Source organism: Homo sapiens, chromosome 7 (genome assembly GCF_000001405.40).
Source record: "Homo sapiens chromosome 7, GRCh38.p14 Primary Assembly".
Taxonomy (NCBI): domain Eukaryota; kingdom Metazoa; phylum Chordata; class Mammalia; order Primates; family Hominidae; genus Homo; species Homo sapiens.
The window spans coordinates 50912855-50927203 of record NC_000007.14 but is presented as its reverse complement, the minus strand read 5'-3'; the positions used below and the strand labels follow the sequence as shown (position 1 = coordinate 50927203).

Genomic DNA, 14349 nt, shown 5'->3' with positions numbered 1-14349 from the left:
AATGCACAGATAGAAAACTGTACCAATGGAAAAGGTAGAGTTCAGAAACTGATCCACACATAAATGGTCATCCAATTTACAACACATACATCATTGCAATCCACCAAAGTTGACAAAAAAGATACATAACCTAATCAAAACAGGTAAAAGATTTGTCTAGATCCTTCACAAAAGAGGATCCAAATGATCACTACCATGGAAAATCCCAAGATGGAATCTGTGTAAAAGACCTAGCCAGCTGGGCTAAGGACCTGGACATTATTTATTAGCAGGAAAACACAAAATACAATGGTGAGATACAAAATACAACCATCAGAATAAGTAAAATTTTTTAAACTGGGACAATATCTAGTGTTGGAAGAATGTAGATCAATTGGAACTGTCATAAATTGCTGATGGAAATATAAATTGAAAAAAATCAGCTCAGAAAACCATTTGGCAGCATCTATTAAAGCTGTAAAAGTACAACCTTATCACTCAGAAATTCCTCTGTTAGTTCTATACCTAATAAAAATGCCCCCAAATTCACTAAAAGACATGTACAAGAATGCCCATAACAGCACTGTTTATGGTAGCTCAAAATTGGAAACAACCCAAATGTCCATCAAAAATAGAATGGATAAATACAGTTTGGTATATTTAAGCAATGAAATGTATAGCACAGAAAAGAATAAATACAACAAAACACCATGGATGAATATTGCTGTGGTTTGAATGTGTCCCCCCACCGAATTCAAAAATTGAAAGCTAATTCATAATGTGGTAGTATTAAGAGGTGGAGGCTTCATGAATGGGATCAATGCCCTGATTAAAAAAAAAAAAAGCCTGGGGGGACGTGTTTTCCCCTCCTGCCATGTGAGTATATAGCAAGAAGGAACAAACTTTGTAGCAGAAAGCAAGCCCTCACCAGACACTGAATCTGCTGGCACCTGATCTTGGACTCCTCAGCCTTCAGAACTGTGAGCAATACATTTTGTTTGTTTATAAATTATCCAGCCTAAGGTATTTGGTATAGCAGGCCAAATGAACTAAGAGAAATATGACTAATATTTCATTGAGAGAATGAAGATAGACACAAAGAATTATGTATTACATGATTTCATTAATAAAAATGTATATTAGGTGAAACTGAATTATAGCAACATAGAATAAAGGCAATGGTTAAGGGGAGGGTAATGGCTTGAGGGGGTGGTAGGGTGGTTTCTGAGGTCCTGGTACTGTTCTAGATCTTGATTTGGGCCGTGGCCACACAAGCGTGAATGTTTGGAAAATCAAGTTCTACACTTACTTTTACTACAGTGTACTTTATTATAAATGCTTCAATAAAATATGTATTCAAAGTTTCTGAGAGAAACTATTTTTCAACCTAGAAATCTCTATCCAGCCAAACTGGCAATTATGGGTGAAAATACAAAAAACAGTTTAGGCTTTTTAAAAAAGTCTAAATGTCTAAAAATGTTTAAAATGTCTTAAAAAAATCTATATATTTTTCTCTGTAGCCTTTCTAGAAAACTGGGAGGATGTGCTTGACAAAATGATAGAGTAAATCAGGATCTGGCAAAATTTTTCCATTAATAACCAGATGGTGAATATGTTAGGCTTTGTGGCTGTACTGCCTCTGTCTCAGTGATTCAGCTTTACCACTGTGGACTGAAAGCATCCACAGACAACACACAAATAAATGGGCATGGTGGTGCCCCAATAAAATTTTATTTTCAAAGACAGATATGGGGCCACAGTATTCTGACCTTTGGGTTAAACCAGGAAAGAAGCAGGCAGGAGGGACAGGGAAGGGAGTAGGAATGAAAATACTTAGAATAATGAAAAAGAAAAATCCCAAGATAGAATCTGTGTAAAAAATCTAGCCAGCCAGGCATAGTAGCTCATGCCTATAATTCCAACACTTTGGGGAGGCTGAGGTGGGAGGATCACCTGAGGCCAGGGATTTGAGACCAGCCTGGGCCATGTAGCCACCCCATCTCTACAAAAAAAAAAAAAAAAAAAAATAGCCAGGCTTGGTGGCATGTGCCTGTAATCCCAGCTACTTGGGAGGCTGAGACAGGAGAATCAGTTTTGCTTAGTAGTTTGAGGCTGGAGTGAGCCATAACTGTGCCACTGCACTCCAGCCTGGGCAACAGAGCAAGACACTGTCTCAAAAAAAAAAAAAAATCTAGCCATCAACAAATCCATATTGGAGCAAACTAAAGGCAAACAGGACAGGAAAATTATTAACTCCAGGAAAACAAGACTTTGAAGGAATAGAAAATTATGGTATACTACATAGCTCAATCGTCCATAATATTTATAAAATCATAATAATGGGAGCACTAAATGTTTATTCAACCAAAATTATGGTGTAACTGTTGGGTAGATAGTGACATAGGAATTATGCACCTACGTAGAGGCCAGAGTGAGACTAAATCCTCATCTTTTGTTTTGGGAAGTTAATAGGTAACACCTAAAACTGAAAAGTCATTAGTAGCAATACATGCCTGTTATTTATAGATGTGGATGCAAATATCAAAAGAATTGGAGGACGGGCGCAGTAGCTCTTGCCCATAATCCCAGCACTTTGGAAAGCCAAGGCAGGCGGATCACTTGAGGTCAGGAGTTTAGTTTGAGACCAGGCTGGCCAACATGGTGAAACCCCGTCTCTACTAAAAATACAAAAATTAGCCAGGCGTGGTGGTACACGCCTGTAATCCTAGCTACTCGGGAGGCTGAGGCAGGAGAATCGCTTGAGCCTGAGAGGTGGAGGTTGCAGTGAGCCGAGATCATGCCACTGCACTCCAGCCTGGGCAACAGAGCAATACTCCATCTCAAAAAAAAAAAAAAAAAAAAAAGAATAAAAAGAATTGGTAAAGAAGTTAAAAGTTATTTCCTCTGGTGGATGAGGACATGGTAGCAGTAGAGAGAGTAAGATTATGACAGTTTTTTATAGTAAGCCTTGCAGACCTTATGAATATCTTACCGTTTAATCCTTTTTCTATTTGCCCAGAGAATTCTCATGCAACTTACGGCTGCAGCATTGACCCCAAAATAACTTTGTCACAAAATATCTCGCTTTTATTATTATTTCACATCACTCTAGCATATCGACTTTGGAAACAAAAGTTTTGGAAACAAAAGACATCACCCTATTTATAGCATTCTGTATTTAGTGGGTATTTCCATTTACAAAATATAGTAATTCTTGATCACTGAAAATGTCAAATCCTGGAAAACGTAGCATTCCTATGCATGATGTTAAGACCATTCTCAAACAATCGTTGGCCAAAGATTCATTCATTTGATGAATCTGATTTTTCCAAAATAGATGATTCTGATGATTCAAACGATTCTGATGTTAGTTCTGTTTAGAAATAACTCCAAGAACAATTTTTATATTTTACTTTCACATTGAAAATCAGTCAGATTTGCTTCAACCTCAAAGAGTGTGTTTATGTAAGATTAAATGAGTGCTGGCAGTGAGCTGCACTTTTTTTTTCTAAACGAGATCAAACCACATGCATGTATAATCTTGATAGTAATAAAAACCACACAAAAAGTAGAAACTGGATGGGTAGCCCCAGGATACGAAATCATCTGAAATCAAACTCAACATGGGTTGACACAGCTTAAAATTTCTTTGAAGTTTTATCTTAAAAATTCAGTGTTACGCCCCATTCTATTACCATGATGTTTGTGCTTCAAAAGATCTAACCCTTATGTCACAAATAGATCTAACCCCTATGTCTAACCCTCATGTCTTTCTGTAGAAACACCTGTGACTACAGAAAAGAAGTTATACCTTTCATTTTTATATTCAAATTATGAGATGGGGGCATCACACTTTTATTTCTGAGATATTCCCATTTCGAATTAATACAGAAATGGATCATTTCTTGCTATCTCCCTTCTGTATTTGCTATTCATTTATTCAAAGAATATTATGCACACACGATTCTAGGCACTGTGGATTCGTCAGTGAGTAAGATGAAGAGGGGCCTATTCTCACTGAATTACATTCATAGGGGATGGGCGTGGCCAGTGGAAAGAGAACACACAGACAAGGAAGAGCTCCTCCATCTTAAGGGAGAAGCTTAACCAAACAGGCACTCGTGTGCTCCCCTGCAGAAGCCACGTCTTTGCTGCTCTGTTGTCAAAGACCATTTATGAGGCAGTGGAGCCTCCAACACAGCTGTCCTACTGCACGAAAGCTTCCTAGTCTGCGCCCAAGAAGTGGAATCTGCTCTTCCCTGGGCTTAGAGGTGGAGGTGGAAAAAAAGCCTTCCTAATTCTCCGAGCACTACCTAGCCTGGGCTGTAATGTTGAAGGAGATTTGCTAAAGGCTGGAGGTAGAGATTTAGACACAGGATCCAATGTTCCTCACCAGAATGGCTCTATGCCATGCTGGGGGCCTCAGCTCAGTCGCCAGCACCGAGGGTTGCCTGGCACCCCGTGCTTTGGAGTCCAGGTGAGATCCAGGTAGCCACATGTAAGATGCCAACAAGGAGCCCAGCCCAGGGAATACTCTGGCAGCCCAGGCTGGCCCAGATCCACCATGTGACAAAGAACACACAAGGCCTCTGGTCCAAGCAAACCCCCATTTCTTAGAAACAAAACACAACAACAAGCACGGAGCAACAAAATTGCAATAGCAAGTAGCACACTGCCAGCCATCTCTACAAGAACGCTGAAAGTTAGAACAGCCTAGGTCTAGACTTGGAAGGGGTGGGGGCATGTTTCCATGAAATATTTCACAAACTTGAGTCATTCAAGACAGAACCTCACAGATTTTCCGGATCCATTGTGGTGGACATGCTGATTTCTCCGCAGCATCCCATCTCCATTCCTCTTGCTTTACACGATCCTGCAATTCTCAGCTGGGCAATGTTGGCCACCTTGGTCCCACCCTCAACTCCAGGGTGGCCAGGGGGATTCGTTCCTGAGTGTGATGCCATCATCCTAGACACAGGTTAGAGAAGTGTTGGAAACACAGGCGTAAGCCAACAGATGCATCGCATATTGTAAGTATCCAGTCAGAAGGGTTGGAGGAGAAGAGACTTTGTTTTCTATTTGGGGGAAGTTCTGGATGAGGCTGCGGAAGCCGTGGCCCTCAGAGCCCTGGAAGCCATCCTGCTCCCAGGAGGGAATCATCTGTGGAGAGGTTGGGGCCCAAGGAAGGCAGGGCTGAGCAAACCTCCAAGACAAAGGTGCCTCTTTGATGAACACACTGCCTCCAGATCAGCCCGTGGCTGCGGCCTCTGCTGTTCCTGGATTTTCAGTTTCATAAGCTACAAAATTGTATAAAATAAGCCAGTTTCAAATGGATTTTTGGTGACTTGTGGCAAGCATCCTAAGTGATATCTCCATGTGACATAAATCATGTGCTGTTTTTCTTTGAGTACACTCACTTTTACCTAGATCTGTCCTACTTAATAGCATTGATTTCTTGGGGTTAATGTGCAAGATACTCCTTTCCTAATGTATATAGTCATCAAAATAAAACCATTTTTTCATGCTTATCACTTCATGCCCAGTTGAACCAGCACGTCATTTTGGCAAACACTGTTTGAGTGGAAATAATCGCAAGGCCTCTAAGCCTAGTGATTGACACTTGGAGCCTGAGACACAGAATATCTGTGCAATCTTACTGCCATCTGGATGGGACCTTCTTTTAGATTTGTCACTAAAAGTTCTGCTCAAGGGGATAATGAGCCCAAAAGCTAATTCCTTTCTCCACACTAAAAGGCAGGGCTGCTCATACCTTTCACACATTTCAATCAGGCAGTTTCATGTAAAACCACAATCAAGCACCACAGGTACATGTAAAAAAGGTACTGTACCAGTTACATTGCATATCTCCCCTCCTCCAACCTTGGAGTTCAATTGATCTCTGTAGAGGCTGGCTCTCCATTTCACTCCCACGCTCCCCACCCACCCTACATGACTCACAGGAGGTAAGCAAATCTTGGCAAAGCAGGTTACACCTGCAGATAATTATCCTAGCTTATAGTGCTTCAAGTCACTTCATGCCTTGCAGCAATGACCCCCTACAAGAGATCGGGAACTCTTTATTCTTATTTTTTCATAGCAAATTTTAAACTAAGTCCCAGTTGATTAGGGATCTCGGCTAAAATCAAACATTCACTTGTATAGTGACACACGTACAAATAAAACTCAGGTCCCCTAAATCTTGGTTTTGCTCTATCTCCATCTCTCCAATATGAGTGACATGAGACAGGCACTATGTCTGTCTAATTTTTTTAACACTTTACCCTCAAGATCTTGTATGGAGCCCCCAACATACTTGGCACTCAATGAATGTGTCGTGAAGGGGAAGCGGAGGGGAGGCAGGGAGGGGAAGGGGGAAGGAAGCATTGGGGTGAAAGAGGTGAAGTGGGGGGATGTGGGGGGAAGGGAGGAGAGTGCGGAAAGGAAGGAAGGAAGGCTGTTAAAAGTTGGCATCTATTTACAGAATGAATAGCAAATCCATAGTGATTTACCTCAAAAAGTCTTCTCTCCATTTTTCCCTTCTTCCTCCTTTTCCCTTGACAGGTGAATTTTATCAAGTCTAAAATCTGGCATCAATTTGTCATTCAGTTGCTACGTTCTCTTTTCCCTCATCCCACCCTTGTTAACCACAAGAGAGGCAGTTTGGTTTTGAAGGAGCTGGAAGCATTGTATTATTCACAGAAACAATCTGGAAGCAGCAAGAGAGCCTGTCATCCAAATCTCATCAATTATAATATTTCAACATTCCTTATCATCCCAAAATCTCACCCTGTGCATCACAGACGCTTCAGCTTCCCTGTGAGCTTCCCAGGTCAGGCTGGCAGGTTGTCTGGGCAGCTGGAGTTTGAGAACATTTGTTAGTAAGACCTTTGGGTTGTGGTTTACTTGCTGTCCAAAGCTTTCAGTTACAATCCGGTCATTCTGTTTTGACCTCTGAAAATGCAAGTGTCTTTCTAGAACATGAGTGGCACCTGAATACACCTGGCATCTTGTTATGTGAGGCAAAAACCACATCCAAGAATAGGTTGAGACTATCGTTACCGTTAAAACTGCCGGACAAGCTTCTCATAGATCAAGCCACGTGGTTTTTCAGAGACCATGTTCAGGTCTTTTCACCCTTTACCACAGAATGATTCTTCTTATTCTCTCTTTTTTGTTGTTCATCACATACTCTACTGTGAAAACTGCAGGATTTCCCAACTCCTGTACTACTAATACCCTGGGGAAGACTCCCCAGGGTCGAGGTGCATATGTGACCACCAGCTTCCAACAGTCAGCAAGAGCCCACAGCCCTTTTGTCATCAGCTATAGGCTGTAAGGATGGATTCACATACTTTCCAATGATGGCATTTTGTCTAAAAATCTGTACTCAGATCTACTTGTCTATGTCATGAGTAAACATGGGAAAATCGCAAGGTGAAATCATACCAGAATGTCATTTTCTTGTGACACTAGAACCTCAGCAATGTATCTTTTATATTTCATCTTATTGACATCATCTAAGAACCAAAACGGGATTTAAGGATCAAAAGTGAGATGACTAAACACTGTGATGGTTGAGTTCGATTATGCTGATATTAATATTTAATGGAAAAGTAGACACGTTTTGTTTTATGAAACAGTAAGCCAAGTCCTGAATAGATTAACCCTGATGGTAGGATGAAGGGTGCACTTGGATTTGAGAGTCAATGACTGGGTAAAATATGGGAAGAAAGGAAATTTCTGAAGCAAACAGAACTGTATTTGCAATGGTCATGAAAACTGATTGAGAAAAAAAGTGCATATCTTTCTCCCACTGAGTGTTTGCATTTCCCTCTAGCTGACTTTCTTCAGCCTCGATATCACTGTGCTCTCTGAAGAAAAAGGCAGCAAAAGGGGCTGACCCTCCCCTGGGGCTTTGTCATTGACCGTGGCCAGAGCCCAGGGGACATGTAACAAGCAAGAATACCCAGCCCTGAGGAGGAAATGCACTCTAGGAGCCAAGGCTTCCCACTCCAGACCACACAGCAGAAGCTCAATCACCTTTGCTTCCCCTAGCCCCACCAAGATCAAGGTTCCAAGACTCTGGGGGAACTCAGGCACAGGTATCTAAAAAAAATCTCTCAAGCAACTTGAATGTTCAGCCAGGGTTAAGAACTGCTGAAGTGGAGGATGAGATTTGTTGGTCTGACCATCCATGGGACCACCCATAGCCTCAGTTTTCTCAACCACAAAATGGGATGACCATAGCAAATATCTCGTCATGGTCTCATAAAAATTAAATGGTATAATTGTGCAAAGTGCTCAAACACAGTGCCTAGCAAATATAAGTGCTCAGAAGCCACCTCCACTGGCTCAGGGAGTCTGGGGGCTTTGGGAAGGTACCCGGACTCTGGGCAGTACCAGTGTACAGATGAGCAATAGGTTGCCTCCTTTGTGAATGGGAGTCCCTTGAAACTGTCCCCAAAGCTGGGTGCTGGAGGGGCCATCGGCTTGTGCAGGTTGTGGACAACATCGGCTTGTGCAGGTTGTGGACAACATCGGCTTGTGCGAGGATGTCACCCACAGGAAAAGCTTCTGGGAGGGTGCTGTCCAGCAGTGTGTGCAGGCCTTTGCTTATCCCACAAGGTCCCAGGAGAGTCCATCCAAATGTCCTTCAGCATCTCTGGGACAGGCGCTGCTCCTCAGCCACATCTCAAGGGCTTCTTTTAACTCTGAATAAGACAAAGTTGACTGTTGGAAAGTGATTGAGCCCACGCTCCACTAATGAAGACACGACCCAGTCATCAGCTATTTGTCTCCTCTAGACGCTGCCTTGACACGCAGGGTAGAGCTGAGTCCCGCCTGGCTCCAGATGGGCCATCCCCATCTGGAGCGTTGCCCCTGCATGGAGGGCTGGGACTCACAGAGCCGTGCTGGCCTTGCTGAAACTGGGGTTGGCCACACTTTGCCAGCACAGGCCCTAGACTGTGTAGACTGGACACAGGGCCTCCCCAGTTAGCTTCTGCTGCTACAGCTTTTCTGATGGTCTTTTGGTGCAAACTCGGTGTTAGATTCCTCATTGGCCAAGGGAGCACTTTGTTGATGTGTTCTGCAACAGGGCTGCAGAAACGCGTCTTCCATCCAGGAACGGGCTCTGAAGCTCCCTGGCGGCTGCAGAGAAGGGTGCTTCCTGCGCCGTTGATATGGGAACAGCCTTGAGTGTTTTCTAATGCCCTCAGCGTTGGTGACCAATGCTCTGGGAAGTGATTCCTCATCACTCAGAGGGGTTGGTGATCTGGTGACTTCCTTTCTCCTAGGATCAGTCACCCTGCAGCAGCAAACGATGAGAACCTCAAGGCCAGCACTGATGAGTCTGCTGCTCACTAAGGTTTCAGTGTCCATATTTCACCCTTGCTTCCATGTAAATTACACAAACTTGAACCGGATCCCTGAGCTCTGGGGTTCAAGGGAGGGGGTCAATACTTATGGCTTATAAGTCTTGAGTAGTCCACTCCTCTCCTTGCTAGGAAAGATGGGGAGGAACTGATGTTCACAGGGGGCCCATATGTGCCGGGGACCTTACACTGATGACATGACTTAGTGTCCCGACATGACTTAGTGTCCCAACATACCAGAGGTGAGTGTGGCCATCTCTGTGACAGAAGGAAACTGAGGCTCAGAGAGATGATGTGACGTGTCCGGTTACATACAAGCAGGGAGTCCCTTCCATATATGGCTGGTTGGGGGGTCCCTGATCCTTCCACCTCATCACTTCCTCCATGGAGCAGTTGTATCCCATCCTCCCATTCCTCCCCACCCACCCAGGACAAAGAATAAAAATGTTACCAAAAAAGAAATCTGAAGAATTTTTAGGTGCCTTCAGAGATGAGTAATTTTGTATAATGACTATTATGGAAATGAGACCCTCAGAGACCAAATCCATCCCTGATATCTCCTGAACTAAGCCCCCAGCCCCTTCCACGGAGAGTTCCCTGCCCACATTTCTCTGCTGAGGGGCAGCATTCACTCTGCAATGCATTCTGGACCATGCTCCCCTTCCTTCTGCCTCACAACACCCACATCTAGACTAAGAGACCAGACCCATGGAGCTAACCCAGGAAGCCCAGGCAGGGTGCAGGGAATGAGACACTAAAGCACTGGTCAAAGAGATTCCCTCTTGTAGCTGTTTCCAGTTTGTGTGGCATCTCACTCATATTAACTCCTCAAAGGGCCACTGGCTCCATCTAAAACATCAAGCATAGCGCACCAAAAATTCTCTCATCTGCTTGCCTTCCTTTTCCCCTATAAAAAATAATTTATGGTTGGGCATGGAGGCTCACGCCTGTCATCCCAGCACTTTGGGAGGCCAAGGCGGGCAGAACACTTGAGGTCAGGAGTTCGAGACCAGCCTGGCCAACATGGTGAAACCTCGTCTCTACTACAGACACAAAAATTAGCTGGGTGTGGGGGCGGGCTCCTATAATCCCATCTACTAGGGAGGCTGAGGCAGGAGAATCACTTGAACCTGGGAGGTGGAGGTTGCAGTGAGTGGAGATCCAGCCACTGCACTCCAGACTGGGCGACAGAGCGAGATACCATCTCAAAAGAAAAAAAGAAAAGAAAAGAAAAGAAAAAGAATGTATGGAGCACTTGGCCTGCACTTTGTATTTTACAAGGGACTAGTGATTTTACCTACGAATAGGACATGGCTTATGACCTCAGAAGGATCACTATAGAACCAACAAGATGAACAATTTAATAATTCAGATACATTGCTACAGATGCATAGACTTGTGAACAGGGTCCCAGGAAGGAGGGTATGAAAACAAAGACATCCCAGAGGATGGAATCACAATTGTCTTGGGAGATTGTGAGACCATTTAGCTGCTTGTGTGTCCCTAATGGTGCATGGGAAAGAGTGGAATTGTAGCAACATTCAGGGCTGAAGGGTACCCGTAAGCAAGTTTCAAAATCAAGGATCTTTGATTATGTCATTAAGTCTCTGAATTAGCTAACTCTGAGGCCCTTTTATCTTCAGATCTCTTGTCATATAAGATAATAAATTCCTTATTGTTTAAACAAGTTGAGTTGAAGTTTTCTATTACAAATAGCTGAAAGAATCTAACCTTATTTGGGAAAGAAAAAAGAAACACAAATATAGAACTTCCTATCTAAGAAATGTCAATGCATAGGGACATATTTCCATATAACTTTTTGGTAAGTGCCAGAATTTTGGGACCAATTTGTGTGAAATGATTCACAGGTCCAGAGAACAATCAGGAAAAGGGAACTGGGGCTGGGAGCTAAGAGCAATGGTGTGATGGCAAGAGGCTTTTCAGACAAAGCTTGGAAGAGCTTGGTACAAATAAGTGCAAGGAAACATAGTTCTTGGATGCAAAACTGAAATGTGTGCATAAGGTGCCAAGAACACATGTTTTGCCACCAAGTTGTCTGACAGAGCCAAGAGGAGATGCTGGTGCTTGTTAGGAATAACGATGTATGTTCACCCTTGCTCTGTGCAGGGCCCTGCTGTGCATTTCACACTCGCCATCTCCATCAGCCCTCGAAACAAGGACAGGAAATGCTTGCTGCGATTGCCTCCGTTTTACTGACAGGAAAACTAAGCCTTCTAGAGTACACTTGGTCACTTGGCTAAGGAAGCATAGGTTGGTGGAGTTCTTAGGACTAGAACTCAGATGGTCTGAGCATGGATGCCACACTGTCACCTCCAGGAGATGGAACCGGATAAGTACCTACCTGGTCACCAATGCTGAGGTTGTTAGAAAACACTTAAGGCTGTTCCCATATCAAATATCCAAGTACCAGGCCCTCAGATGGGACCCAAGAAACAGGAAGCAAAAATTCTGATTCATAACACCAGAAAAATATTGAATATTTTGATGGGGGACCCCACACATAGATGAAAATGCCTCTTACTACGCATATTACCTGTATCAGAGCAAAAATGTGGACAAACCATCTCATTGGAATTCCTGGGGCAGTGTTTCTAGCATCTCTGGCAAGTAAGGAATCTTGAGAAAGTAATTTTACAGAACTGTTTGTTATCCATTTAAGATGGGAAGTATCATTTATCATCCCTTTCAGCATTCTGATTTTTTACTGCACATAATTAATATTTATGAGGACTCCTCGTCTGTTTTCTCTGGAGTTTAAGCATGTCAGTTGCAAATTCTCTCCCCATCAGGTTTTTGACTAACTTACTTTTGCTGTTGGTGATGGACTATTGTACATACATGACAAAATAAACAGAAGCCACACCTCCAGAAATGTAGTGAAAGAGTGCTATGTAGGTGGAAATTATTAGATAGATTAAACTAGGAGGAGACCTGTGGAATTATTCTGATAAAGATGCTATTACAGGTAAAACAAAGATCAACCAACCAAAGGAATTATCTGAAATAGTTGAGAACTTAACTTGCCAAGGGAATGAGACAAAATCACAGCAACAATGAGCTTGTTGTTTTAGGCCTCAGTTCAGCTTGGGAGTGTGGTCTGGTCTTATCTGGGAACGCCACACCTGATGAAGAGATGACACAGCAAACCCTTCCCTTGGCCTTCAGTTCGAAAGACAGAGAGAGAGAAGATGCTTTTAAATGCTATGCATAAGAGACCTGTGATGTTACTCAGTATGCTATTTCCACATAAAAGAGCAACGAACTTTCTATTTACCAATTTCTGACTCACTTCATCAAAGGGGCAAAAGTGGAGCAAATAAAACTGGAAAGTTGTTCTTGCCTGGTTTTCCTAACATCATATTTTCCAGTGATTCAATTCAATTCCCATGATATTGTGTCTTTGAGATTGTCCCCAGTGAAGCTCAGCATAAACACAGCTCTCAAAGTTGAGCCAAGAATGCCAGTGGAGAAACCTGCCTTTCTGATATGCGAGGCAGAAGAATCTGAATAGCGGAACATTACCTTTTAATTAGATTCAGACTCTTTTATTCATGTGCCATGCTGCGGTGAATATCAATTTCTAAGCTTTAAAATTCAAACAATAGTAAGTAGTCTACCAAAATAACACGTAACCTTTCGGGAATACCTCATTGTTTTCAGTGGACATTTTAACATCTGTGGACCCTGGTTTTGACCCTCAAGCTAATGCCACCATATAGGCAGCATAGTTATTATGATACCCGCATTACAGAGAAGGAGGCTGAGGGTCAAAAACACTAAGTAATTTTACAAATTCACACAGCAAATAAATAGCATAGCCAAGAACAGAATCCACATCTCTATTCTGGTATGTTTTCTTCTCTAAAGGACAAAGACACAGAAAAGTGTTATCAGAAATTCTAAAGCCAAAAAGAAACTGATGCTCAGAAATATATTTAGGATAGTTGGGTGGGATGTGTTTTCAGTTATGTTTAAAACAAGAAAAAGGAATAGGATGGGCAAGTTGATGGGCTGGGCTTGAAGGTGTGAATAAATGATGGAGAAGGAAGCTGTTCTGCCTCTCTTCCCTGCCCAACTTCTCAGTCAGTGACTCAGATTTTTAAACTGGGTATAAATAAAAAAAAGGGGAAATTCAAATCAAGTCCAGAGATAAAGGGAAGGTGAGCAAGTCATCTGGGCAGGGCACCTCTAAAAGATCCTTGAGCCTGTTGGTACAGCCTGAGGAACTGGAGGTACAAAATGATGTGTGGGATGAGAAGCTCTGGAATACACATTCTCAACACTAACAAAAAGAAAGGGGAAGGAACTTCTACACAGGGGCTTGGGATTGTAAAGTTCATCTGATCAAGATTCCAAAACTAATTTCCTAAGGATCGTTTATGTACTCAATAGACTCGAAATCCCTTGAGATTATTTTGTCTTCCTGGTGATGACCACAATGACTTACATATAACAGCACTCAAACATTTGCTGAGCTAACCTAAACGTAGAAAACAAGGTGGTGACCATTAGCAACCCCACGCAGCTTCACTAAGAAAGCGCAGAGAAGCCTCAGGACTTTTTGATACAATTCCTAGACTGGTAAATAGTCTGTATACTTGGATTCCAACAAGACTTTGGAACAAGGATATCATATCTCTATAGGCAAGGTTGGGAAGAATGGCTTGGGAAATGAGTCAGCTATATGGATTAAAAATGGGTTGAAAATGCATACTCCCAGGGTGAATAACTGAAAAACATAAACATGAATTCTCTAGGACCATGTCTTTAGCCCGGATTTTTTTTTCAACTTTTTATCCTTCACATTGATATGAACGTTGCAGATGATTTCTGCTCTAAATGGTGCACAAAGTTAGTTTTCAGAATTACTAGCATTTTTCATGGGATTATGTTACCTTGCTTAATTATACTCCACAACTCTTTTAAAAATATGTTGTTTTGTAAATTAAGACTTTATCTTTTAGAGCAGTTTTAG

The 14349-nt window shown here is 42.5% G+C and overlaps 1 annotated feature.

Annotated features, from left to right (window-relative positions):
• Window positions 12395–12595: a silencer, noted in NCBI's record as "peak6518 fragment used in MPRA reporter construct". NCBI's record gives its function as "represses an SCP1 promoter by STARR-seq MPRAs in K562 erythroleukemia cells {active_cell/tissue: K562}" and the evidence as "EXISTENCE:reporter gene assay evidence [ECO:0000049][PMID:32103011]".